Raw genomic sequence first — 27,103 nt, 5'->3', positions numbered from 1 at the left:
GGTGTGTGTTTGTGTGCGTGTGTGTGTGTGTTTTCTAAACCACCTTCTCCTACCTTCAAAGGGCTCAGGACTGAAATCTATGGTCCATATGTCAAAATAACCAAGGGGCTCAGAAGGTTCCCTTTTCATTGTTTTTCAAGGAATCCATTGCTGATTTTTCATATTTCAAGCAGGCAAGTGCATTTGGCCCTATGAGCTCACAGAGTTTCCCTAACTTAACAGACTCTAAGGTGTAGAGCGTTTTGAAACCTTGCTGGATTTCTGTGTGTTCTGTGAGTTGGGTGATTCCCTCCCCAAAACCTCATTTCTTTTCTTCCCTGTTCTCAAATGGCACAGGATCCACCTCATTGCAGAGCTCCTCCCAGGCAGCCCTGCCAGTTGCCCTTCTGCCTGCCTCCCTCCTTCAGCTCTAACTTCTGCAGAAAGCTCCCATGTGGGATGTATGATATGACAGCAAAATCTTCCCTTTCACAATGTGATTGAGCATTTCCCCTGTTTTCTGAAAATAACAATTTAGTGACCCATATTTGTAAAACTCAGAGGAAGCATCAAGTATAATCTAATCTATCTGACTATTGAATTTGCTTGTTTGTTCACTTGAACTCCTTTCCCATCTGATATGGCTGCTATTACTGTGGTGCAGTGCCTGGGCTTGCTGACACACTACCTCTAGATGAGTGCTCTGTTTCATTCTCTGCTCTATAGACAGGGCCCGCTAGGTGAGAGGGTATGGGGAGGTGCCAGGGTCTCACTGGGGAAGTTGGGGTGGTCTGAAGTCTCTGGAACCCATCCTCATTTCCTTTTCTGACAGCCATCCTTTCATGAGTACTCTGAAGAAAGGAAGGCACTGCTCTCAGGCTCTTTAGGCACTGCTCTAGGCCTTACTGCCTAGACCTAGACATTAGGGCCCTGGGCTTCATATTAGCCCAGCATAAACAGTAGCAATGGGTAATTTGGGGGTATGAGCTGAACATGGGGCATGTTTTCAGTAATACCAAATGATAGCTGCCTTCTTGTAGGCCCTGAGGACTGGAAGAAAACAACATGGCAGCTTCTGTTTTATAGATATTTCTGCCACCTAGCCAAAATGATGAATCAACACTCATCATTGTGATTGGCTATCACTGAGGAGGTCAGTTAAAGGGCATTCTCTTTCTACCTTTTCTCTAGATGCTTCAAACTCTCTGGTGCTTCTTCCATATTCTGATGAGTATCAGTACATTCGTGGTGAATGGTGTGGCCTACATACCTATGTTTTAAGACTGTTCTCAAGGTTTATAGCTCTTATAGAAGGAAAGGTTCTCTGTTCTGGTTCTGAAGTGGAACTCAACACTTCCAGCCAGTGAGAGGAAAGAGAAAGGCCTTGGCAGGAAGTACCTCTTTGGGGAAAGTTGGGGCAGAGGTGAATACTGGTGTTTAACAAGGGGTCTGGTCCCAGAGCACAGCATCTCTCTCTAGGGGCTCCTCATCAATGTCTCTTTGAGAAGAAAGCCCTCAATACAGGGTGAAGTGGATAAGCAGGAAGCTTAAGCCCTGGGTGGTTAGAGGAAGGAGACATTACCGTATATAAGAGGCCTGAAAATGGGAGTTTCTACTGCAGAATGTGGGCTGAGCGCCTCTAGAGGTTGAGCAGACATGAGTTGTTCTAAGCTAAATAAAACTAAGGAGCTAGGGCTTGAGCCAATTTAGCCAGATATAAGATGCTACCTTAGATTAAGGTTAGGGACTAATGGACAGGCTTTGAGATCAGGTCTCTGGAGAGGAGAATAAATGTGTTTCTTCACTCTGAGTTCTTACCTACCTAGGAACTATTAATGCAAAGACAGGTCCCAAGGAGGCCACAACAGGAGGGAGCAGGTGCAGAGACTGATAGTCTGCTGAAGAGTGAGAACACTCCCTTTCTGGGGCCGAGGCCAGGAAGCCTTTGCTAAGGAACAGTCTCATATTCATCCCAAGGAACAGGCTGGGGACTCAGTTGGGGTTTCTCCACTTCTAACCTCTCTAATAAGGACAAATTTTTCCTTTACTAGCCAGCAGAGTAGAAAACAAGAAGGGAGGAAATTAAATCTTTTCAAATCATTAATTTTTCTTTCATTTCTAGGACCCACTGAGCCCCAAGCCCCAGCTGGGACCACCTTCACTGCCTAAATTGCCTGTACAAACAAGGCTGCTGAAACCAGGGAACTAGCAAGTACAAAAATTTGCTTCCTTAGGCTCCTAAGTTATTTGATAGGGCCTTGCCAATGACTCTATTTCTGAGATGATAAAATCCTGGGCCCTGAAAGGTTAGTGTCTCTCTCTGGAAGGTAAAGGAGAAAGGGAAAGAGAAGTGCATGTGCAAGACCCTTTACCTTCAGCGGCTCTTTTGAAGAAGACCTTGCAGCTTCCACATGTGAGAGCTCCATAGTGACACCCAGAAGCTTCATCTCCACAGATCAGGCAGGTCTTCTGGGGTGGAAAGTAATAGTCAATGGGCAAAACATGGTCCCTGGCAGTCTCCAAACTGGAAAGACACAAAAAACCAATGCAACACATGTCACTGAATGGCAGAAATAGGCAAGTGAAGTCTCAGGTCTTCAGCATTAACCTGCAGGCATAAATGACTATTATTCATTGCTCAAGTTAGTTAGTGTGAAGCTGAATTTTCTGAGACTTCTCCTAAAGATGATGGTTGTAGGGTGTGACTGAGCCTTTTTGGATCTTGCCAAGGGATTAGGGAAGTTCTCTGGGATTAGCCAATCTCATAGTCTATGTCTATATGCGGGAGCAATGAAGGCAGGAAGCCTGAGGTTAAGATATCTAACTGAAGGTGGTGTCCAGGCAACATTTTCAGACTAATTAAATGATATGAACCCAGGTTTGTAACTTTACCTCATCCAAAGGGAGACCTATAACAAAACCAGACCAAATATCAAAGTGATTTGATGTTCCTTGCTTTAGCTTCGTGAGCCTCAAATCTCATCTATAAAATAGAGATAATATCTCCCATCCTATTGAGCTGCTGCTGTGAGTGGTAATATAAATCAGATAATGGATAAAATGCCATTGGAATAAATACACAAGGATCGTGATTAGTATTATCATAAAAGTCTTGTTCTTTTTTTTCCCTCATTTCTTCACTTTCCTTAGGTGTTTCTATAGATCACATGGACATCCGCCAGATTCCATTCCACAACATAAAGTACCAAGCATAATCCCTATGCCTGAAGCTTCTGTTGAAAAAATGATGTACAATGATTCTGGACATCTTTTAGGCTACCATCAAAATACTTGGCCACTGGAGCTTCAGAAGTCACCTTGTCTAACTGCCTTTCTGCAAGAACTTCTGCGCCCAAGCTCTTTCAGGTGGATATGAAGGAGAAGGGCCAGAAAGCCAATCCTAAAACCTTCATGGAAGGTTAATTCTCAGTCTCCTATAGTAAAAAATTCAAGTTTGAACAAAATGGAACATTGTTCTCACTACCCAAAGGTCAGCTTTTGTCATTCCTATGTCTTATGCCTAAGCATTAAACAAAACTCAAGTGACATTCTGGGTTACATCTGCTTCAGGGAGATGACAACTGCCCATGCTATCATTCACAAGAGCACAACTGCTATATTTTATAAGCACTTCTTCCTTACTAAGGAATGAAGGAAAATGAGCCCTAATGGGAGCCTGTTTGTTGTGTCAACACCTAACGAAAACTCTGTGAAGACAAGCTTATTTTCTCATTTTAATATCCACTGTACAGATGAAAAACGTTAAGACTTGGAGAGGGGAAGTGCAGGACAATTTGATTACAAGTCCAACACAGTTTCCATTACCCTATTGTCTTCTCACCACTCACCTTTACTTTCCACCAATGGCCTTTTGGTTTGAATGTTCAGCACAGTCATCAGAATGAAGAAAAAAAAAAAACATGAAAGGTTATCCTCCCCTCAACCCCAAGTGAACAGCTATGTCAGGACAAGAGCAAAGAAAACTTTCACTCACTTTACAAGCACTTTACCAGCAAGACACAAATATCAGCCTTTATTCAAGTCCCAAGTACAACAGAAAGCAATAAAAAATTCTACTGATTTGCAAACCCAGTGGCTTGATATCATGGCCTATCTTCATTCCCCACAAGCCTTCCTTTCCCTACCCTAACTAGAAAGCCAGCAAGAGCACTTCCAACAAACCAAGGCTAGCAAGGCCATAAGTTCCACATGGAAGGAGCTTACTTCCAATATATAATTCAGCTAAATGCTAAGATCATTTCTTTTGGCTAAAAATGTCATTTCCTTGGGTAAAAACTGTGCCCCCTTCCTCAGTCCTGAATGAAACATGGAGAAGAAATAGAAAATTTTCACAAGTACCTTTCTCCTTTCTCCACCTTTTTGACTTCTGTTACTAACACAAACTGTCCAAATAGAATCAGAAGAACATGTATTTAGGCACTCTATATGCCAGGCCATTTCATACATATCATCCCATTTAATTTTCCCAACAACCTACCAGGTAGCTGTGTATCATCCCTATATTGCAGAAGAGGAAACTGATGCTCAGAACAATTAAGTAAACTTGTTCAAGATCACGCATCTATTAATAATAAGTGGCAATGCCAGGATTCCATCCTGGGTGAGTCTGACTCCAAAGTGTAGATTCTTAACCACTGACAAACCATGTTGTGCTAATGAAGGTTAAGATTAGGTACAATGGTTCAACTCAACTCTTAGCATCTGGCCCTATGGACCAGGCACAGGGTTAGGTGCTGGGGATATAGTGGTGATCGAGATATTTCCTTGGCCCTAAGAAACTACTATCTGTTAGAGAAGAAGGACTGGAAATAAATAATTATAAAATAAGATAATAAATGATATAAGAAAGCAGAGTGCAGACTGCTAAAGATGAGGATGCACTTCAAAGATGGGATTATTATTTGAAAGACACAAATGTATGTATGGGTAAAGGAGATGATAATGATAATGCTGATGATGATAATGATGGTTATTATTAGATAATTACAAAATAAATATCAGATAAACAGTCTATTTTGTAGATAGACCACTAGCCAGACTACTAAAGAAGAAAAGAGAGAAGAATCACAGATGCAATAAAAAATGATAAAGGGGATATCACCACGGATCCCACAGAAATACAAATTACCATCAGAGAATACTATAAACACCTCTGGGGCAAATAAAATAGAAAATCTAGAAGAAATAGATAAATTCCTGAACGCATATACCCTCCCAAGCCTAAAGCAGGAAGTCAAATACCTGAATAGAACTATAACAAGTTCTGAAATTGAGGAAGTAATTAATAGCCTACCAACCAAAAAAAGTCCAGAACCAGAAGGATTCACAGATGAATTCTACCAGATGTACAAAGAGGAGCTGGTACCATTCCTTCCGAAACTATTCCAAACAACAGAAAAAGAAGGAATCCTCCCTAACTCATTTTATGGGCCAGCATCATCCTGATACCAAAACCTGGCAGAGACACAACAAAAAAAGAAAACGTCAGGCCAATAACCCTGATGAACATCAGTGCAAAAATCCTCAATAAAAAAATACTGGCAAACCCAATCCAGCAGCACATCAAAAAGCTTATCCACCACGATCAAGTCCGCTTCACCCCTGGGATGCAAGGCTGGTTCAACATACACAAATCAATAAACATAATCCATCACATCAACAGAACCAATGACAAAACCATATGATTATCTCAATAGATGCAGAAAAGGCCTTCGACAAAATACAACACTGCTTCATGCTCAAACTCTCAATAAACTAGGTATTGATGGAATATATCTCAAAATAATAAGAGCTATTTATGACAAACCCACACCCAATATCATACTGAATGGTCAAAAACTGGAAGCACTCCCTTTGAAAACCAGAACAAGACAAGGATGCCGTCTCTCACCACCCCTATTCAACATAGTATTGGAAGTTCTGGCCAGGGCAATCAGGAAAGAGAAAGCAATAAAGGATATTCAAATAGGAAAACAGGAAGTCAAATTGTCTCTGTTTGCAGATGACATGAATGTATATTCAGAAAACCCCATTCTCTCAGCCCAAAATCACCTTAAGCTGACAAGCAACTTCAGCAAAGTCTCAGGATACAAAATCAGTGTGCGAAAATCACAAGCATTCCTATACACCAATAACAGACAAACAGAGAGCCAAATCATGAGTGAACTCCCATTCACAATTGCTACAAACAGAATAAAATATGTAGGAATCCAACTTACAAGGGATGTGAAGGACCTCTTCAAGGAGAATTACAAACCACTGCTCAAGGAAATAAGAGAAGACAAAAATAAATGGAAAACCATTCCATGCTCATGGATAGGAAGAATCATTATCATGAAAATGGCCAAACTGCCCAAAGTGTTTTACAGATTCAATACTAACCCCATCAAGCTGCCAATGACTTTCTTCGCAGAATTATAAAAAAACTACTTTAAATTTCATATGGAACCAATAAAGAGCCTGCATAGCCAAGGCAATTCTAAGCCAAAAGCACAAAGCTGGAGGCATCATGCTACCTGACTTCAAACTATACTACAAGGCTACAGTAACCAAAATAGCACGGTACTGGTACCAAAACAGATATATAGACCAATGGAACAGAACAGAGGTCTCAGAAATAATACCACACATCTACAACCATCTAATCTTTGACAAACCTGACAAAGACAAGCAATGGGGAAAGGATTCCCTATTTAATAAATGGTGTTGGGAAAACTAGCTAGCCATATGCAGAAAACTGAAACTGGACCCCTTCCTTACACCTTACACAAAAATTAAATCAAGATGAGTCACGTAAGACCTAAAACCATGAAAACCCTAGAAGAAAACCTAGGCAATACCATTCAGGACATAGGCATGGGCAAAGACTACATGACTAAAACACCAAAAGCAATGGCAACAAGAGCCAAGATTGACAAATGTGATCTAATTAAACTCAAGAGCTTCTGCACAGCAAAAGAAACGATCATCAGAGTGAACAAGCAACCTACAGAATGGGAGAAAATTTCTGCAGTCTATCCATCTGACGAAAGGTTAATTAATATCCAGAATGTGCAATGAACTTAAACAAATTTACAAGAAAAAGACAAACAACCCCATCAAAAAGTGGGTGAAGGAAATGAACAGGCACTTCTCAAAAGAAGACATTTATGCGGTCAACAAACATGAAAAAAAGCTCATCATCACTGGTCATTAGAGAAATGCAAATCAAAACCACAATGAAATACCATCTCACGCCAGTTAGAATCGTGATCATTAAAAAGTCAGGAAACAACAGGTGCTGGAGAGGATGTGAAGAAATAGGAACGCTTTTACATTGTTGGTGGGAGTGTAAATTAGTTCAACCATTGTGGAAGACAGTGTGGCAATTCCTCAAGGATCTAGAACTAGAAATACCATTTGACCAAGCATTTCTATTACTGGGTATATAAACAAAGGATTATAAATCATTCTACCATAAAGACACATGCACACTTATGTCTACTGTGGCACTATTCACAATAGCAAAGACTTGGAACAACTGAAATGCCCATCAATGATAGATTGGATAAAGAAATTGTGGCACATATACACCATGGAATATTGTGCAGCCATATAAAAGGAAGAGTTCATGTCCTTTGCAGGGACATGGATGAAGCTGGAAACCATCATTCTCAGCAAACTAACACAAGAAAAGAAAATCAAACACTGCATGTTCTCACTCAAAAGTGGGAGTTGAACAATGAGAACACTTGGACACAGGCTAGGGAACATCACACACTGGGGCCAGTGAGGGGTGAGGGGCAAGGGAGGGAATAGCATTAGGAGAAATATCTAATGTAGATGACAGGTTGATAGGTGCAGCCAAACACCCTGGCATGTGTGTACCTATGTAACAAACCTGTACATTCTGCACATGTACCCCAGAACTTAAAGTATAATAAAAAAAGAAAAAAAAGTTATCAGATAAACAAAATGGAAACACGCAGAAAGCTCATTTTGTAAAGGACCTTTAAGAAACGGAAATGGAGTGTTGCTGTTCAATGGCTATAAAGTTTCAGTTAAGCCTGAAGAAAAAGTTCTAGACGTCTGCTGTACAACATTGTGCCTACAGTTAACAATATGGTGTTGTCATGCACACGTATGTTTATTGCGGCACTATTCACAATAGCAAAGACTTGGAACCAACCCAAATGTCCAACAATGATAGACTGGATTAAGAAAATGTGGCACATATACACCGTGGAATACTATGCAGCCATAAAAAAGGATGAGTTCATGTCCTTTGTAGGGACATGGATGAAGCTGGAAACCATCATCCTCAGCAAACTATGGCAAGGACAAAAAACCAAACACCACATGTTCTCACTCATAGGTGGGAACTGAACATTGAGAACACATGGACACAGGAAGGGGAACATCACACACTGGGGACTGTTGTGGGGTGGGGGGAGGGGGGAGGGATAGCATTAGGAGATATACCTAATGCTAAATGACGAGTTAATGGGTGCAGCACACCAACATGGCACATGTATACATATGCAACAAACCTGCACGTTGTGCACATGTACCCTAAAACTTAAAGTATAATAATAATAAAATAAAAAAAAAACAATATGGTGTTGTGCCCTTAAATTTTGTTATGAGGGTAGACTTTATGTTGTGTTATTATTAAAAAATGTTTTTTAAAGAAATCGAAATTTTCATCCATACTAAAGTGAAAATACAGTTAAAATTTTTTCAAGCAATCTAATTAATTGAATTTACAATCAATGAAAGACAAAATATTCATTAGAGTTTTGTTTGTTAGGCATGAGTTTAATAAAGTGCACCTTGAACAAAAATAACTGTAAAGGAGGAAGAGGAAGATAAATAGTGAAGGGGATTCAGAATCTGGACTTTTACTAATTGCAACCCATTTTGACTAGAGACCTGAGATAGTGCCTCCTGGCCTCACTAGGTCAGTCTCTGCTTCTCCCTGACTCCCCAGCTAGCAAAATATTTTGGGTAGCACTCCCACTGATCCTGACCTAGTGTGGACAAAGGGCACATTGCAGCTCTGACTCATGAGCTAAACTTTGGGCTTTGGAAATGTAAATTCCAACTGCAGTCCCTCTCTCAGGCTTATATCCTAGAGAAAGTTGGTCACATATGTACTAGGAGGCACATGCAGGAACAGTCATAGCAGTTTTGTTTATTAAAGCATAAATGATAAACATTAACTGACAGGAGAAAAATAATTTATGGCACACATATCCAATAAACTACAATCAGCAATGAAAAGGAATGGAATCGAGCTACACATAGTTGAATCTCAAATACTAATGTTGTGTAAAAGACATAATTCACAATAGGATACATACAATATGATTCCATTATATAAAGTTTAAAAAGAAGCAAAAGCAAGCAATATATTATTTGGGAATATACATGTGAAAACTTATCAAAATGCAAGGGAATAATAAAGCCCAAATATAGGATAGTGGTTACCTCTGAGGGGAGGCTGGGAGTGATGGTAAGAGGAAAGAGGATATAAGTAGATTTATGCTCTTATTTTTAAAATATTGACTAAGCTCCTATTATGTGGCTGACACTCCTCTAGGTCCTGGGGATATAGCAGTGAACAAAATGGACAAAAATCCATGCCTTCACAGAGCTTCCATTCTAATAGGGTTGATGCAATCATGATGTTAATGTTGTTGATTCTTTAATCTGGGCTCATCAACATTAATTTTATTGTTATGACATATAAATTATATATTACATGTATTCTTTGATATTACTAAAACAGCACATAATGAAAGAAAAACTAAAATAAAAACCTCAAAAGTTTTGAATATGCTCCTAGATAACATCCTAATTGCAAACACAGGAGAGGTTTGCTTTGAGAACAAGTGCAGAATTTGCACGTGACATTGTGTTTTTTCTTACCTCCCGAGGGTTACACGTTCACTTATTATCTTGAGGCAGAGCATTTGGTTTTATGAATCTGAAGCAAAAGCAGTGCCCCATAGAACGGAAGGTTTCTGAACCAGAACACCACTTGCAATTCTTCAACAGTTTCACTATTAATTAAATAAAAGTGGATTACTAGAAGCTGTTGGCCTGACAATACAGGCTCAACCATGGGGAACTTGGGCTTAGGAAACCTTGGCACCCAGCTGAGATCACCAGGTTTCTCTCTCTCTCTCTCTCTCCCTGACTCCTTTCCTTTTTATCTCCTCTCCTCTGCTCCTCCTCCTGTCCCCCAACTTTCTTTTCAAAGGAGGACTTGGGGATACTTTGAAGAATCTGATTAACTTAAGTAAGTCCCACCAGTGACTGTGGAAGCGGGGTGAAATGCAAAAGTCACAGACCAGTTTTATTTGTTAGCAAGAGGAATGGCAACCCAACAAGGATTTGGAGCCCACCAGACCTGGGTTGGAATCCTGCCTCTACCACTGAACTTTGGGTGAAATAATTAAGGCTCTCTGTGCTCCATTTGCCTCATTTAGAGTTGGAAATATTTTCAACTCTAGACGGCTTTTGTGAGAATTACAATTACATTAAATAACATGTAAAAGCCCTTGCCTCTGTGCCTGCCACATGGTAGGCACATTGTAAGTCTTGGTTGCCTTAATCTTTTGTCTTACCATAAGAAAATGAAATATCTAATATCCTAAAAATAAAAAAGAGCACTTTTCTTGGCTATGCAGAGCTTTTAGAGAAAGGTAAATACATGTGGGGGTTGCGGGGGTGTAGGGCATAGGGGTTGGGGAGGGAGGGAGAGAGAGGGGAAGAGACAGAGAGAAGGCAAGGGTAAACATGTAAACACATATCTTTCTCATACATACCTACTTTTCAAACTAAAAGAGGTCGAGGCAACCACCAAACATCTTTATGGAACATAATATTTTTCCTTGTGTTTAGTAACAAAATATATTTTATTAATCACATTGTGGAACATGACATCCCTACATGACTTTTTAAGATAAAATCAGAGTTCACAATTATTCTCTCCTTATAGATCTATTGTGCTTACTTATTTGTGGTTACAAGGAATATTTTGGTGGAGAAGTTGGTGAAGTAATGGCTTAAGATAGGTAGCATCTTTATTCCCTGCCACCGTGAGATTTGAAATTTAGTGTGTGTTCATTCACGAGGGCAGCAATGTTTACTATTAAAAGTATTACCGAAATTTAGTTCATAGCTTTTCAATTCTCTTTAATAAATTCTTTAGTTGAAGTGGAAAGACACATAGGTAGAAGATCTAGTTTTCATGTCCATCTCTGCCACTTGCTAACAGAAGGACCTTGAACAACTCATTTGACTTCAATTTATTTACATGTAAAATGGGCAAAGAAATAAAGATCCCACAAGACTGCAGTGAGGATTCAGTGAAGTTGTGGAGGTAAAGCAGCCCCACACCACTGCGGACACAGTGCTTAATAAATGGTTATTACTGTAATAATATTATGAGAAAGTGGTAGAGGAGAGATGAGGAAGAACAAGGTTTTGAAAAGGTACCACTGAGGTAGGTATCATTACCTCTATTTTGCATATATGCAAACTGATACTTAGAGAAAGCAAATGACTTGTCCAAGTCCATACACTAGTAGTGACAAAACCAGAATTATACTTGGGACTATTTCCCCACCCTTACTCCATATTTTCCCACTATTCTAAACTGCCAAAGCCATATAATATTTCTGTTATAGCTTGGTTTTAATTTAATTAGGTTGTTTTTAATGGGCTTACTGAGTTATATTTCACATACTATAAAATTCACCCATTTTAGCATACTCACATCTATTACTGCAAACTAATTTTAGAGCAATTATATCACTCCAAAAAGAAATCCTGTACCCATTAGCAGCCACTCCTCATACTGTCTCCTCCCAGACCCTGGAAAAACTAATTTCCTTTCTATCTCTAAATATTTTTCTTTTATGGACATTTAATACAAATAAAATCATACAGTGTAGTCTTTTGTGAGTTGCTTTTTTCACCTAGCATAATGTTTTCAAGGTTCATCCATGTTGGAGCATGTATGAGTACTTCATTTCTTATTATTGACAGATAAACCATGGCATGGATATACCACATTTTGTTTTTCCATTTATCAGTTGGTGGACATTTGGAGCCCACATTTGGAAGACATTTGTCGTCCACTCTTTGGCTATTATAAATAATGCTGCAATGAACATTTGTGTACAAGTATTTGTGTGGACATGTTTTCATTTCTCTTGAGTATTTACCTTGGAATAGAATTACTAGGTCAAACAGTAACATTTTTGATACATGTACACCATAGTATACTATGCAAAAAGAATGAGATCATGTCCTTTGCAGCAACGTGGATGAATCTGGAGGCCAGTATCCTAAGCAAACTAAAGCAGGAACAGAAAACCAAATACCACATGTTCTCACTGATAAGTGGAAGCTAAATATTGAGTACATATGAACACAAAGAAAAGAACAAGAGGCACCAGGGCCTACTTGATGGTGGAGGGTAGGAGGAGGGTGAGGATAGAAAAACTACCTATTGGGTACCATGCTTATTACCTGGGTGATGAAATAATGTGTACACTAAACTCCTGTGACACACAATTTAGCTATATAGCAAACCTGCATATGTACCTCTGAACCTAAATTAAAAGTGAAGAAAAACCAAATAACAAATAGTAATTTTTTAAAGACTTGCAGACTGTATTTCAAAGGGCTGCATGACTTTACATTTTACCAGCAATATATAAGGGTTCTGGCTCCTCCACATTAAAGCCAATACTTGTTATTTGTTCTTTTATTCTATAGCCATCTTAATAGGTGTAAACCGGTATCTCAATTTGGTTTTGATCTGCATTTCCCTAATGACTAATGATGTTGAGCATTTTTAAATTTGTATATCTTCTATCAAGAAATTTCTATTCAAATACTTTGCCCATTTTAAAATTGGGTTGTCTTTTTATATTGAGTTGCAAGAGTTCTTTATATATTCTAAATTCAATACCCTTATCAGATATATGATTTGCAAATACTTTCTCTCATTCTGTGGGTGAGATTTTCACTTTCTTGATGGTATCATTTGCAGCACAAAAATTTCAAATTTGATGAAGTCCAATTTAACAATTTTTTTTTCTGGAGCCAAGATGGCCGAATAGGAACAGCTCAGGTCTACAGCTCCCAGCATGAGCGAAGCAGAAGACGGGTGATTTCTGCATTTCCATCTGAGGTAGCGGGCTCATCTCACTAGGGAGTGCCAGACAGTGGGCGCAGGTCAGTGGGTGCAGCGCACCGTGTGTGAGCCGAAGCAGGGCGAGGCATTGCCTCACTCGGGAAGCGCAAGGGGTCAGGGAGTTCCCATTCCTAGTCAAAGAAAGGGGTGACAGACGGCACCTGGAAAATTGGGTCACTCCCACCCAAATACTGCGTTTTTCTGACGGGCTTAAAAAACGGCGCACCAGGAGATTATATCCCGCACATGGCTCAGAGGGTCCTACGCCCATGGAGTCTTGCTTATTGCTAGCACAGCAGTCTGAGATCAAACTGCAAGGTGGCAGCGAGGCTGGGGGAGGGGCACCTGCCATTGCCCAGGCTTGCTTAGGTAAACAAAGCAGCTGGGAAGCTCGAACTGGGTGGAGCCCACCACAGCTCAAGGAGGCCTGCCTGCCTCTATAGGCTTCACCTCTGGGGGCAGGGCATAGACAAACAAAAAGACAGCAGTAACCTCTGCAGACTTAAATGTCCCTGTTGGACAGCTTTGAAGAGAGCAGTGGTTCTCCCAGCACGCAGCTGGAGATCTGAGAATGGGCAGACTGCCTCCTCAAGTGGGTCCCTGACCCCTGACCCCTGAGCAGCCTAACTGGGAGGCACCCCCCAGCAGGGGCAGACTGACACCTCACACGGCCGGGTACTCCAACAGACCTGCAGCTGAGGGTCCTGTCTCTTAGAAGGAAAACTAAAAAACAGAAAGGACATCCACACCAAAAACCCATCTGTACATCACCATCATCAAACACCAAAAGTAGATAAAACCACAAAGATGGGGAAAAACAGAGCAGAAAAACTGGAAACACTAAAAAGCAGAGCGCCTCTCCTCCTCCAAAGGAACGCAGTTCCTCACCAGCAACGGAACAAAGCTGGACAGAGAATGACTTTGATGAGATGAGAGAAGAAGGCTTCAGACAATCAAATTACTCCAAGCTATGGGAGGACATTCAAACCAAAGGCAAAGAAGTTGAAAACTTTGAAAAAAATTTAGAAGAATGTATAACTAGAATAACCAATACAGAGAAGTGCTTAAAGGAGCTGATGGAGCTGAAAACTAAGGCTCGAGAACTACGTGAAGAATGCAGAAACCTCAGGAGCCAATGCGATCAACTGGAAGAAAGGGTATCAGCGATGGAAGATGAAATGAATGAAATGAAGTGAGAAGGGAACTTTAGAGAAAAAAGAATAAAAAGAAACGAGCAAAGCCTCCAAGAAATATGGGACTATGGGAAAAGACCAAATCTATGTCTGATTGGTGTACCTGAAAGTGACGGGGAGAATGGAACCAAGTTGGAAAACACTCTGCAGGATATTATCCAGGAGAACCTCCCCAGTCTAGCAAGGCAGGCCAACATTCAGATTCAGGAAATACAGAGAATGCCACAAAGATACTCCTTGAGAAGAGCAACTCCAAGACACATAATTGTCAGATTCAAAAAAGTTGAAATGAAGGAAAAAATGTTAAGGGCAGCCAGAGAGAAAGGTCAGGTTACCCTCAAAGGGAAGCCCATCAGACTAACAGCAGATCTCTCGGCAGAAACTTTACAAGCCAGAAGAGAGTAGGGGCCAATATTCAACATTCATAAAGAAAAGAATTTTCAACCCAGAATTTCATATCCAGCCAAACTAAGCTTCATAAGTGAAGGAGAAATAAAATCCTTTACAGACAAGCAAATGCCGAGAGATTTTGTCACCACCAGGCCTGCCCTAAAAGAGGTCCTGAAGGAAGCACTAAACATGGAAAGGAACGACCGGTACCAGCCGCTGCAAAATCATGCCAAAATGTAAAGACCATCGAGACTAGGAAGAAACTGCATCAACTAACGAGCAAAATAACCAGCTAAAATCATAATGACAGGATAAAATTCACACATAACAATATTAACTTTAAATGTAAATGGACTAAATGCTCCAATTAAAAGACACAGACTGGCAAATTGGATAAAGAGTCAAGACCCATCAGTGTGCTGTATTCAGGAAACCCATCTCATATGCAGAGACACACATAGGCTCAAAATAAAAGGATGGAGGAAGATCTACCAAGCAAATGGAAAACAAAAAAAAGGCAGGGGTTACAATTCTAGTCTCTGATAAAACAGACTTTAAACCAACAAAGATCAAAAGAGACAAAGAAGGCCATTACATAATGGTAAAGGGATCAATTCAACAAGAAGAGCTAAGTATCCTAAATATATATGCACCCAATACAGGAGCACCCAGATTCATAAAGCAAGTCCTTAGTGACCTACAAAGAGACTTAGACTCTCACACATTAATAATGGGAGACTTTAACACCCCACTGTCAACATTAGACAGATCAACGAGACAGAAAGTTAACAAGGATACCCAGGAATTGAACTCAGCTCTGCACCAAGCAGACCTAATAGACATCTACAGAACTCTCTACCCCAAATCAACAGAATATACATTTTTTTCAGCACCACACCACACCTATTCCAAAATTGACCACATAGTTGGAAGTAAAGCTCTCCTCAGCAAATGTAAAAGAACAGAAATTATAACAAACTATCTCTCAGACCACCGTGCAATCAAACTAGAACTCAGTATTAAGAATCTCACTCAAAACCGCTCAACTACATGGAAACTGAACAACCTGCTCCTGAATGACTACTGGGTACATAACGAAATGAAGGCAGAAATAAAGATGTTCTTTGAAACCAAAGAGAACAAAGACACAACATACCAGAATCTCTGGGACACATTCAAAGCAGTGTGTAGAGGGAAATTTATAGCACTAAATGCCCGCAAGAGAAAGCAGGAAAGATCCAAAATTGACACCCTAACATCACAATTAAAAGAACTAGAAAAGCAAGAGCAAACACATTCAAAAGCTAGCAGAAGGCAAGAAATAACTAAAATCAGAGCAGAACTAAAGGAAATAGAGACACAAAAAACCCTTCAAAAAATTAATGAATCCAGGAGGTGGTTTTTTGAAAGGATCAACAAAATTGATAGACTGCTAGCAAGACTAATAAAGAAAAAAAGAGAGAAGAATCAAATAGACACAATAAAAAATGATAAAGGGGATATCACCACCGATCCCACAGAAATACAAACTACCATCAGAGAATACTACAAACACCTCTACGCAAATAAACTAGAAAATCTAGAAGAAATGGATAAATTCCTTGACACATACACCCTCCCAAGACTAAACCAGGAAGAAGTTGAATCTCTGAATAGACCAATAACAGGATCTGAAATTGTGGCAATAATCAATAGCTTACCAACCAAAAAGAGTCCAGGACCAGATGGATTCACAGCCGAATTCTATCAGAGGTACAAGGAGGAACTGGTACCATTCCTTCTGAAACTATTCCAATCAATAGAAAAAGAGGGAATCCTCCCTAACTCATTTTATGAGGCCAGCATCATCCTGATACCAAAGACGGGCAGAGACACAACCAAAAAAGAGAATTTTAGACCAATATGCTTGATGAACATTGATGCAAAAATCCTCAATAAAATACTGGCAAACGGAATCCAGCAGCACATCAAAAAGCTTATCCACCATGATCAAGTGGGCTTCATCCTTGGGATGCAAGGCTGGTTCAATATACGCAAATCAATAAATGTAATCCAGCATATAAACAGAACCAAAGACAAAAACCACATGATTATCTCAATAGATGCAGAAAAGGCCTTTGACAAAATTCAATAACGCTTCATGCTAAAAACTCTCAATAAATTAGGTATTGATGGGCCGTATTTTAAAATAATAAGAGCTATCTATGACAAACCCACAGCCAATAACATACTGAATGGTCAAAAACTGGAAGCATTCTCTTTGAAAACTGGCACAAGACAGGGATGCCCTCTCTCACCACTCCTATTCAACATAGTGTTGGAAGTTCTGGCCAGGGCAATTAGGCAGAAGAAGGAAATAAAGGGTATTCAATTAGGAAAAGAGGAAGTCAAATTGTCCCTGTTTGCAGATGACATGATTGTATATCTAGAAAACCCCGTTGTCTCAGCCCAAAATCTCCTTAAGCTGATAAGCAACTTCAGCAAAGTCTCAGGATACAAAATCAATGTACAAAAATCACAGCATTCTTATACACCAATAACAGACAAACAGAGAGCCAAATCATGAGTGAACTCCCATTCACAATTGCTTCAAAGAGAATAAAATACCTAGGAATCCAACTTTCAAGGGATGTGAAGGACCTCTTCAAGGAGAACTACAAACCACTGCTCAAGGAAATAAAAGAGGATACAAACAAATGGAAGAACATTCCATGCTCATGGGTAGGAAGAATCAATATCGTGAAAATGGCCATACTGCCCAAGGTAATTTATAGATTCAATGCCATCCCCATCAAGCTACTGATGACTTTCTTCACAGAATTGGAAAAAACTACTTTAAAGTTCATATGGAACCAAAAAAGAGCCCACATCCCCAAGTCAATCCTAAGCCAAAAGAACAAAGCTGGAGGCATCACACTCCCTGACTTCTAACTATACTACAAGGCTACAGTAATCAAAACAGCATGGTACTGGTACCAAAAGAGAGATATAGATCAATGAAACAGAACAGAGCCCTCAGAAATAATGCCGCATATCTACAACTATCTGATCTTTGACAAACCTGACAAAAATAAGCAATGGGGCAAGGATTCCCTATTTAATAAATGGTGCTGGAAAAACTGGCTAGCCATATGTAGAAAGCTGAAACTGGATCCCTTCCTTACACCTTATACAAAAATCAATTCGAGATGGATTAAAGACTTAAACGTTAGACCTAAAACCATAAAAACCCTAGAAGAAAACCTAGGCATTACCATTCAGGACATAGGCATGGGCAAGGACTTCATGTCTAAAACACCAAAAGCATGTCTAAAACACCAAAAGTCAAAATTGACAAATGGGATCTAATTCAACTAAAGAGCTTCTGCACAGCAAAAGAAACTACCATCAGATTGAACAGGCAACCTACAAAATGAGAGAAAATTTTCGCAACGTACTCATCTGACAAAGGGCTAATATCCAGAATCTACAATGAACTCAAACAAATTTACAAGAAAAAAACAAACGACCCCATCAAAAAGTGGGCGAAGGATATGAACAGACACTTCTAAAAAGAAGACATTTATGCACCCAAAAAACACATGAAAAAATGCTCACCATCACTGGCCATCAGAGAAATGCAAATCAAAACCACAATGAGATATCATCTCACGCCAGTTAGAATGGCAATCATTAAAAAGTCAGGAAACAACAGGTGCTGGAGAGGATGTGGAGAAATAGGAACACTTTGACACTGTTGGTGGGACTGTAAACTAGTTCAACCCTTGTGGAAGTCAGTGTGGTGATTCCTCAGGGATCTAGAACTAGAAATACCATTTGAACCAGCCATCCCATTACTGGGTATATACCCAAAGGACTATAAATCATGCTGCTATAAAGACACATGCACACGTATGTTCATTGCGGCATTATTCACAATAGCAAAGACTTGGAACCAACCCAAATGTCCAACAATGATAGACTGGATTAAGAAAATGTGGCACATATACACCATGGAATACTATGCAGCCATAAAAAAGGATGAGTTCATGTCCTTTGTAGGGACATGGATGAAATTGGAAATCATCATTCTCAGTAAACTATCGCAAGAACAAAAAACCAAACACCGCATGTTCTCACTCATAGGTGGGAATTGAACAATGAGAACACATGGACAGAGGAAGGGGAACATCACACTCTGGGGAATGTTGTGGGGTGGGGGAGGGGGGAGGGATAGCATTGGGAGATATACCTAATGCTAGATGATGAGTTAGTGGGTGCAGCGCACCTGCATGGCACATGTATACATATGTAACTAACCTGCACATTGTGCACATGTACCCTAAAACTTAAAGTATAATAATAATAAATATATATATATATATATATATATAAAATTAGTCGGGCATGGTGGCGGGTGCCTGTAGTCCCAGCTACTCAGGAGGCTGAGGCAGGAGAATGGCATGAACCTGGGAGGCGGAGCTTGCAGTGAGCTGAGATTGCACCACTGCAGTCCAGCCTGGGAGACAGCCAGACTCCATCTCAAAAAAAAAAAAAAAAAAAAAAAAGAGAGAGCCTGTCATTTGCACCAACATGGTTGGAACTAGAGTTCGTTATGTTATGTGAAATAAACCTGGCACAGAAAGACAAACTTTACATGTTCTGACATGGGAGCTAATTTGTGGGAGCTAATAAAATTAGTTCTGTCTATCTCCATGAGCTGAAACTACTGAACTCATGGAGATAAGAGGAAATCATGGTTACCAGATGCTACGAAGTGTAGCTGGGAGGCAGGGGAGTGGGGATGGTTAATGGGTACAATAATATAGTTAGATAGAATGAATAACATATAGTATTTGATAGCACAAGGGAATGACTACAATAATAATGTACTGTACATTTAAAAATAACTAAAAGAGTATAATTGGATTGTTTGTAACACAAATGATAAATGCTTGAGGTACTGGATACTTCATTTATCCTAATATGATCATTGAACATTGTATGCCTGTATCAAAATATCTCATATACCCCATAAATATACACACCTACTTTGTACCCACAACAAAATTTTAATAAAATAATCAAGGGTTTTTTTAAAAAAATTTTTTTTCTCTTATTGCTTGTGCTTTTGGTGTTATAGCCAAAAAACCATTGCCTACTTCAAGGTCATAAAGATTTACTTTGATATTTTCTTCTGAGATTTATCATCTTAGCTCTATAGCATTTAGATCCATGATACACCATGAGATCATTTTATTTTTTTTGCAGGTTTGAAGTGGTCCAAAATCTTTTATTTTCATGTGGATATCCAATTTTTCCAGTACAATTTATTGAAAAGACTATTCTTTCCTCATTGAAATGTCTTAGCAACACTTTTGAAAGTCAATTGGTCTTAAATGTAAGAGTTAACTTTTGGATTCTCAATAGTATTCCATTTATTGATCTGTTTGTCCTTATGCCAATACCATACACTCTTGATTACCACTGCTTTGTAATAAGGTTTGGAATCAGGAAGCATGGGTACGCCGACTTTGTTTTTCTTTCTCAATATTATTTTGGTTATCCTAGGTTCCATGTATTTAAATATTAATTTTAGGGTCAGATTTTCATTTTCTGCTAAGAAAACAGCCAGTATTTTGATAGGGATTTCCTTCAATCTTTGGGGAGTATTTCCATCTTGACAATATTGAGTCCTCTAGTACATGAACAAGGGATGTTTTTCTATTTATTTAGATTTTTAATTACTTTCCACAGTGTTTTGTGGTTTGCAGCATACAAGTCTTACGCTTCTTTTGTTAAATTTATTTTTAAGTATTCTGGTATTTTGATTATATTGTGAGTGAACTGTTTTCTTAATCTCATTTTCAGATTGCTCATTGCTAGTGTACAGAAATACAATTGATTTTTGCACATTAATCTTGTATTCTGAAACCTTGCTGAACTCGTTTACTCGTTTTAATAGTTTATCATGGATTCCTTAAGGTTTTCTTTGTATAAGATCATGTCATCTGTGAATATAGATATTTTCACCTCTTCCTTTCCAATATGGGTGCCTTTTACCTCTTTCTTTTTTTTTTTTTTTTTTTTTTTTTTTTTTGCCTAATTGCCTTGACTTGAATCTACAATACAATGGTAAATTGAAATGGTGAGAACAGTCATCCTTGTCTTGTTCCTGATCTTACAAGGAAAAATTTCAATCTTTCCCTATTTAGTATGATGTTAGCTGTGTGTTTTTCAGAGATGTCCATTACAAAGTTAAGAAAGTTTCCTCCTATTCTTAGGTTTTTGAATGTTAATTTACATTCCAGAGATAAATCCTACTTGGTCACCCTTTATAACCCTTTTTATTTGTTGCTGAATTCTGTTTGCTAGCATTTTGTTGAGATTTTTAGAAAGTTATCTATATTCAAATGTGATATTAGCCTGCAGTTTTATTTTTGTGTCATATCTTTGGTTTTGGCATCAGGGTAATGCTGACTTTGCAGAATTAGTTGGAAAGGGTTCCAGCCTCTTCCAAGTTTTGAAATAATTTGTGAAGGATTAAATCTTCCTTAAATATTTGATAGTATTCACCAGTGAAGACTGAACCTGGGCTTTTCTTTGTGGGAAGTTTCTTAATTACTAATCCAGTTTTGTTACAGGACTTGTTACAGGACTACTCAGATTTTCTGTTTCTTCACTGGTCACTTTAGATAGTTTGTGTTTTTCTGAGTATTTGTCCATTTCATCTAGGTCATCTAATTTTTTGGCATACAGTATGGTTGATATGGTTTTGCTCTGTGTCACACCATCCAAATCGCACGTTGAATTGTAATTTCCAGTGTTGGGGAAGGGACCTGGTAGGAAGTAATTGGATCATGAGGGCAGATTTTCCCCTTGCTGTTCTCATGATAGTGAGTGAGTTGTCATGAGAGCTGATGGTTTAAAAGTGTGTGGCACTTCCCTCTTTGCTCTCTCTCCTGCTGCCGTGTGAAGACATGTCTTCCATGCCCCTTAGCCTTTCACCTGATGTAAATTTCCTAAGGCCTCATGATCCATGCCTGCTGTACAGACTGTGGAACTGTGAGTCAATTAAAGCGCTTTTCTTCATAAACTACCCCATCTCAGGTAGCTTTTTTATAGTTGTGTGAGAATGAACTAATGCAATGGCATTTTCTTTTAATCCTTTGAAAATTCTTTTTAAGGTAGGTAGTGATGGCCCCATTTTCATTGCTCATTTTGATAATTTGAATTTTCTCTCTTTTTTTCTTATTCAATCTGACTAAAGTTTTTTTCAGTTTTGTTGATCTCTTCAAAGAATCAATGTTTAATTTCATTGATTCTAGTGTTTTTCTACTCTATTATTTCATTTATTTCCCTTTTAGTCTTTATTAGTCTTTCTTCCTGCTTTCTTTGTAGTTTGCTGTTCCTTTCCTAGTCTAAGGTGGAAGGTTAGGTTCTTGATTTGAGATCATTTGTCTTTGTTGATATAGGCCTTCGCAGTTACAAATTTCCCTTTAAGTACTGCTTTAGCTTGGCTGTATCCTGTAAGTTTTGGAACAATGTATTTTCATTTTCATTAATCTCAAAGTATTTTCTCATTTCCCTTATGATTTCTTCTTTGATCCACTGTTTATATCCCACAAATGGTGAATTTCCCAACTATCCTTCTATTACTAATTGTTTATTATTTCCACTGTGATCAGAGAGCTTACCGAAGTTTTTCTTGAATACATTCTTCTCAGATTGTTGGAAGCCTCTGTTTCCTTTCCAGAGTTCTGGAAAAGTTAATTTTCACAACGTTTGCTAGCGTTTTCACTGCTTTCATGAAAGGGCGGATTTATGGGGGCGGGGGGGTGGTTCTCATTCCACCATTCTGGAAGTCTTGCCTTCTAAGTAAGGTTATATTTTATGTGACACAAAAATTATCCCCTTATATACACACACTAGTCCCCATCGTGAAGAAAGAGAGAAGACAGGTCACTCCTACTTTTCATTCATTTATTCATCTATGCATCCCTTCATTCAGTAATTAGTACATTATAAAGGGACAGCTCTGCTAAATGATGCATATATAAAGATGAAAAAGACATAGCCCCTATCCTCAAGGAGCTTTCATGGCCTGTTTGAGGCTAAGACAAGTGCACAAATGGTTAATGCAAAGTGTAGCAAAAAGAAATGCTGCAAAAGTGGCTGAGATGGCAATTGCTATAGGAAGAAAAAACTTTTTTTGCTTGCAGATACTAGGAGGTAACTGCCACCATGTTCTCAGCCCTATGACTGACCAAACTAAATATTTTACATATTCATCAAATATTTACTTTGAAATCTACTTAAAGATAAGATGGGGGTGTCCATGGCCCTAATGCATACTCAAGTCTCAAACCTGACATGCAGCAAGTGCTCTGTACAACACATAACCATGAATAGAACAATTACTTGTCACTATGCATCAGGTTGCTATAGCCCTATTGGTGATTTCCATTTTCTGTAGCTTACATCACCAACAAACATGCCAAGACAGCTGGAGTGGTAGTAGCAAAAGTGTTTTTTAACAGCGTATCCCACTGACAATACAAATCTGTCCTTTTCTCCTGGAATCACTCTCATAAATGGGGCTGGATAGACAAATCCTTATTACAGTCATGTCCTTGCATTTCCCAAGCCACATCTGCTGTCTTCTGTGAGCCAATTTTTTTTTTCCAATGGCTTTCTAGCCATCATAGCCAATCAGCCATGGGACGACTAGCCAGATTTCTTTCTGCAATGTCATCAAATCTAAGGACTGAGAGCTATTTCCACATTATGTTTCTGGAATCCATTGCTAAAGAAACAGGAAAATGTTTTCAAATACTTGATTTTAATTTACCTGTTAAATCTTACTGAACCAATATTTTTCTCACATCTTCCATCTGAACTTCTGATATTAAAGAAGCTATTTACTGGGGGCTTATTATGTCCTAAGCTCTGGTGAAGGTGCTTAATCCCCACAACTATTACTGCCAGGTACATAGTGTATCTCCATTTTGATTTCTTCAAGATCACACAACTAGTAAGTAACAGAGCCAGGGTCTGAATGCATACCTGGCTAACTCTAAAGCCCATGCTCTGTCCACCATACTCTATAGCATTGTCTCTTGTTGACTATCAAAGTTGGATGGCCCTTATCAATCATCTAGTCCAGTGTTTCTCACCCTTGGCTGCACATTGAACTTCACTAGGGGGCCTTCTTAAAATACTGATGCTCCTCTCAACATTCTGTATTCTGATTTAATTGAACTGGAGTGAGCAGTTCAATACACCATGGAATATCAGGCCACCATAAAAAAGGATGGGTTCATGTCCTTTGAAAGAACATGGATGAAACTGGAAACCATCATTCTCAGCAAACTAACACAGGAACAGAAAACCAAACACTGCACGTTCTCACTCATAAGGGGGAGCTGAACAATGAGAGCACATAGACACAGGGAGGGGAACATCACACACCAGGGCCTGTCTGGGGTTAGGGGACTAGGGAGGGATAGCATTAGGAGAAATACCTAATGTAGATGACGGGTTGATGGGTGCAGCAAACCACCATGGCACGTGTATACCTATGTAACAAACCTGCATGTTCTGCACATGTATCCCAGAACTTAAAGTATAATTAAAAAACAAACAAACAAAAACAACAACAACAACGACAAAAATCTGGGCATCTAATTTTTTTCAAAGATCCCCAAATAATTTTAATGGCCACTCGAGGCTGAACCCCACTAAACTAGTCCAACTCCTTCATCATTTGGGGGAAATTTCAAGCCTAGATAGAGACAGAGAATTGACCAGGAGAAACAGTTATTCAGAGGCAAGTCTGAGACTAGAACACAGGTGTTATCATTCTTACGCCAGGGATCTGTTGTAGAATAATATTTCCTGTCAAATTCTGGATATTTAACTTCTTCCACGGCATAGAATTTGGAACAGGCAACCTATGAAAAAATCTATATAACAACCATCATCAGTTATCTAGCTATACTCCAAAATCATTTTAACAGATGGTAAAAGCATTAAACACTACAGTAGCCACCAAAATGTATCTCACCCATTATGGAGCTACCCTCTTTCTGGAAAATGTGGTAAATATTTATTGAGTGCCCTTCTATGTGCCAGGCACTTAGAAGCACTTTCAATACATTAGGGGCCCAAAGATACAAATATCCTTATCCCCTATCATAAGTCTGGTCTGAGGAGATTTACTGTCATACAGAGCAAGAGTTACAGAGCTCCATTTTACAGTTGAGGCAAATGAGACTCAGAGTTAAATACATCTTCTCATTAGTTACAGTGTCAAAAGAGGAAAAAGCAAAGGCTTTGGGGCAGAGAAATCTGAGTTTGAATCTCACTATTATTGATCACTAGCCATGTAAAGTTGGGCACAAGATGAACCTAACCTCCCTTCCCATAAGTTTCCTTATCTATAAAATGAAGAAAATCACATTTCAAACCCAAAGAGAATTGTGACAAATGCATTAGACAATACATGAGAAAAGGCCTGGCACACTCAAAATAAATGGTAATTTCTCCCCATTTACCCCATCTCACTCCATCTTCCCCTTGGTACTAGAGTCTAGGCGGGTAAAGCATCTGACTTTCAGTCCAGTGAGCTCTGCAATCATCATGCTACCTCCTCTGTCAGACACTACTGGTTAAGGCAGAAAAGCAGCATTTACCACTTGCCCTTACCCAAAATGTATAAAAACCCTGGGGAAAAAAAAAACCAAAACCTATCTTAAAGTCCTTTTGTGACTTTGTCTGTGGCAGGGAAAACACAGATGATATAGCTTAAGAAATGTGAAAAATGTTCAGCCAAGTGTCTGAGGGCTTCAGAAACCCAAAAGAAGGAAGATAGCATCATGTAAGCAGACACAACTTGGGTAGCAGTGAAATGTTGACGAGAATCCACAACCAAGAAGCCAAGGTTAGACATTTCATGTTGGCCCAAAGAAACTACAAGAACTAGAAAAACAGCCCCATTGAGATACTCACCAAGAACAGAGCTTACCCTGATCTCTTAAACAGATGTGTAGTGAGGTCTGGCCCAAGGCAAAACAAGGCAAGGTATTAGCCTTAAACACTTGGGAGAAGTGTCTCACTCCTCAACACATAAGAGACTGATTTTCTGATTTTGATCATGGGGAGAGGAGTCATTGGCAGAGACTAAAAAATCCCCTACCCCATCTCACTCCAGTACACATCACAACATATAGCACAATAATAACAGCTGATGTTTACTGGACCACTATACGTCCCAGTTACTAAACTACACTCTACATACTTTAACCTCATTTAGTCTTTACAACAAATGCATGAGGTATGCATTATTTTCCTCATTTTACAGAAGAAATAACTGAGGTCCAGAAACCTTAAGTGTTCTGCCCAAGACCCACATACAGCAATTGATGGCTTCAAGATTTTAATTCAAGTCTACCTCCAAGATCAACTATGATAAGACTATATAGTTTCTCACATTGGATGGCAATCCCCAATGACTCAACTTAGAAAACCATGAGTCATCCTGGACTTAATGTAATACACTTCCCTCAACGCACCCCACCTATCACTGCCATCCACTCAGTCAATCAGTGACTAATATCTGTTAATTTTACTGCCTAAATAGTTCCTACAATTACACACACACACACACACACAGAGAGAGAGAGAGAGAATCTTTGCCTCCAAAATAACTGCAACTGTCTTATTCAAGTCTTTCTGCTTCCTGTCTGATCCTCTCCAGTCCATAAATTACACAGGACCCCAGAGGAATCCTATCTAAAACATCTGCTTCTGTGGCTCCTCTCCATAGCAGCTTTCAATAACTACCTATGGCTTACAGCAGTGGTCATAACTCACTGATATATTAGAATCCTCTGAGGAGCTAATTAGCAATATGGAACACTGATTCCACCTTCAGTTAGCAGACTCTTCTGAATCTGAAGTTACAGGTGAGACCTGAGAATCTGTAATTTTATTAAATGACCAAGTGAAAACCACTTGGCTTACAGCATGCAAATTCAAAGTACTAGGATGGCATTCAAAGCTTATTTCTAGCTTCTTATCTCAATACCTTCACAATCTTTTCCATGTGACCTTCCAGCAGTACCACCCTGTTGCAATTCACTAATCTAACCTTGCTTTTTCATGCCCCTGTAGCTTTGCTTATATTGCTACTGCCTCCAATTTCAATGACCCCACCTTGCCCCCAGCCATCTGTCTCCTTTGCCACATCATCTCATAACTCAGGTCTCAGCCCAAGAGGCTACCACTTATTCAATGAAGCCCTTCCTGACTCTATCCCTAGATAGAATAGGAACACATCTCCACTTGT

The 27,103-nt window shown here is 39.2% G+C and overlaps 1 protein-coding gene across 5 annotated transcripts in view; it reads right to left on the bottom strand.

Moving 5' to 3' along the window:
* AR (androgen receptor) overlaps positions 1-27,103 on the bottom strand; it is a 186,599-nt gene that overhangs the window by 84,861 nt on the left and 74,635 nt on the right. For 4 of the 5 annotated variants that reach the window (NM_000044.6, NM_001011645.3, NM_001348061.1 and 1 more), the window contains one exon: positions 2,352-2,503. The exons of the other annotated variant lie outside the window; for it this stretch is intronic. In NM_000044.6, coding sequence (NP_000035.2) covers positions 2,352-2,503 — 152 coding nt within the window. The remainder of the gene's footprint in view (positions 1-2,351; positions 2,504-27,103) is intronic. 5 annotated transcript variants of the gene reach the window in all.

This window comes from Homo sapiens, chromosome X (assembly GCF_000001405.40).
Source record: "Homo sapiens chromosome X, GRCh38.p14 Primary Assembly".
NCBI classification, from domain to species: Eukaryota; Metazoa; Chordata; class Mammalia; order Primates; family Hominidae; genus Homo; species Homo sapiens.
Note: the sequence above shows the minus strand (reverse complement) of the source record. Positions and strands in the feature narration are given on the sequence as shown.